The sequence below is a fragment of the Homo sapiens genome, chromosome 1 (genome assembly GCF_000001405.40).
Source record: "Homo sapiens chromosome 1, GRCh38.p14 Primary Assembly".
NCBI classification, from domain to species: domain Eukaryota; kingdom Metazoa; phylum Chordata; class Mammalia; order Primates; family Hominidae; genus Homo; species Homo sapiens.
The window spans coordinates 101,519,514-101,521,447 of NC_000001.11; the positions used below are offsets into that span (position 1 = coordinate 101,519,514).

Below are 1,934 nucleotides of genomic sequence, written 5' to 3' on the forward strand. Positions count from 1 at the left end.
TTCCTGGCCTGTATGGTTTCCACTGAGAATTGTGTCACCAGATGAATTGGAGCTTTGTTTATATATTATTTGCTTTTCTTCCTCTTTCTGCTTTTAGGATGCTTTCTATCACTTTAGCTTTAGAAAGTTGAATTGTTATAGGTCTTGTGGTAGTCTAATTTGGGTTGAATCTGTTTGGTGTTTTCTGACCTTCCTGTTCCTGGATATTTATCTCTTTCTCACATTTAGAAAGTTTTCTGTTATTGTTTTTTTCTCTTTGAATAAGCTTTCTACCCCTTGTTCTTGCTCAACTGCCTCTTGAAAATTAATAATTCTTAGATTTGGTCTTTTGAAGTAATTTTCTAAATTTTATGAAATATTTTCATGCTTTTCATTCTTTTTTCTTTTTTTACTCTCTGACTGTTTTTTTCAAATAGCCTATCTTCGAGCTCACTGATTCTTTTCTCTGCTTGATTTATTCTGTTCTTCAAACCCTCTAATAAATTTTTGAGTTTAGCAAATACATTTCTCAGTTCCAAGATATCTGTTTGATTTTAAAAAATTATTTCAATCTCTGTTAGAGATCCCTGATAATTTTTAAATATGCCTTTCTGTGTAATCTTGAAAATCACAGAGTTTTCTCAAAACTGCTATTTTGAATTCTTGATCAGAGAGTTAACATATTGCCATTTTGTTAGGGTCAGTACCTGATTCCTTGGTTTGTCCACTTGGAGAGGTTATGGTTTCTTGTCTGCTGTTTCTTGTGGATGTACATCCATGTTTTTGCATTAAACGATTATTTATTCCAGGCTTCTGTGTATGACCTGTTTTGATTTACACTGGACATGTTTGCTTAGAGATTCTTCATAATTTAGCTGTTAATTGTCATTATTTTTATCACCCCAGCTAGGTCACTGCCTCCTTTTGGTCACTAGATGGCAGCTTAAGACCAAGATTTCCTTGGTTCTAGGCAATCAGAGTGCCTCCCTTCTCGAATGGGAGGATATCCCAAAACGGATATCTTGAGTGCGGGAAGGCTGGCTAGGGGTTTGTGCCAGGGAAGCTGTTACACAAACCTCCTATAACATGGTGCTGTTGAACAGCCACTCTGATTTGATGTCTCTTTTGGCTGAGTTACAGAGACGTTTCCAGTTTTATAGATAGTATTCCCATCTCTGCTCTTTGTCTCTGTCCTCAGAGATATTTCTTTAGGCACTCCTGATGATTCCTGTGGCTTGAGGCAGAGACAGGTTTACTGCCAAGAAACCCAAGGTGGTTAAGAAGCTGGTTGTCCACATCATCTCATTTTTTTTTATTGTAGAAACCCTAAGTTGGGGAGAAATTTTCCATGTTCTTGCTGTTGAACAGATTTGGGGGAGCGGTGTCACGGATATGGAAGTCCAACTTTCTTACTGTGTGTTGAAAGGTTTTTTCCCTTCTCTGTGGTCCCAGGAATGATCTGACCCTTCTATTTGAGCTCTAGAATATTGCTAGTGATGATGTTAGAGCTGTATATATGTTTCTGGTTTTCTATGTGTATGTGGTGGCAGTGGTGGGGAGGGTGAAGCCAGCTTGCTTCTATGCCACCATTTTGAAACTGGAAGTCCTCTCAGATTCTCCTTTTAACCAATTTTAATACCTTATTGATTTCCTCATTAATTAATGTTAAAATCTTTGATGTTATTTCTTGTTTAAGAGAGTTATGGTCTAAATTTTTTGAAGAACCATACTTGAGTAGATTAGATTTTTAAAAAGAATGCTTGGTTAGGAGTCTTTGACTGACAAGTGATAGTCAACACGGTGAGAGTGAGCTTGGAGAACAAGCCTTAATCCCTTTAAATATTTTCAAAAAATTGCTTATGTATTTTTTAAAAAGTTTGGCTTTATTACCAGAAGGAAGTTTTGAATGACAGCATAGAATGTATTTTTTTCCCTGAATCAGTTTTGGAAAAAAG

At 36.3% G+C, this 1,934-nt stretch overlaps 1 annotated feature.

Annotated features, from left to right (window-relative positions):
- Positions 840-949: a silencer, noted in NCBI's record as "silent region_1126". NCBI's record gives its function as "represses an Ori minimal core promoter by ATAC-STARR-seq in GM12878 lymphoblastoid cells {active_cell/tissue: GM12878}" and the evidence as "EXISTENCE:reporter gene assay evidence [ECO:0000049][PMID:35858748]".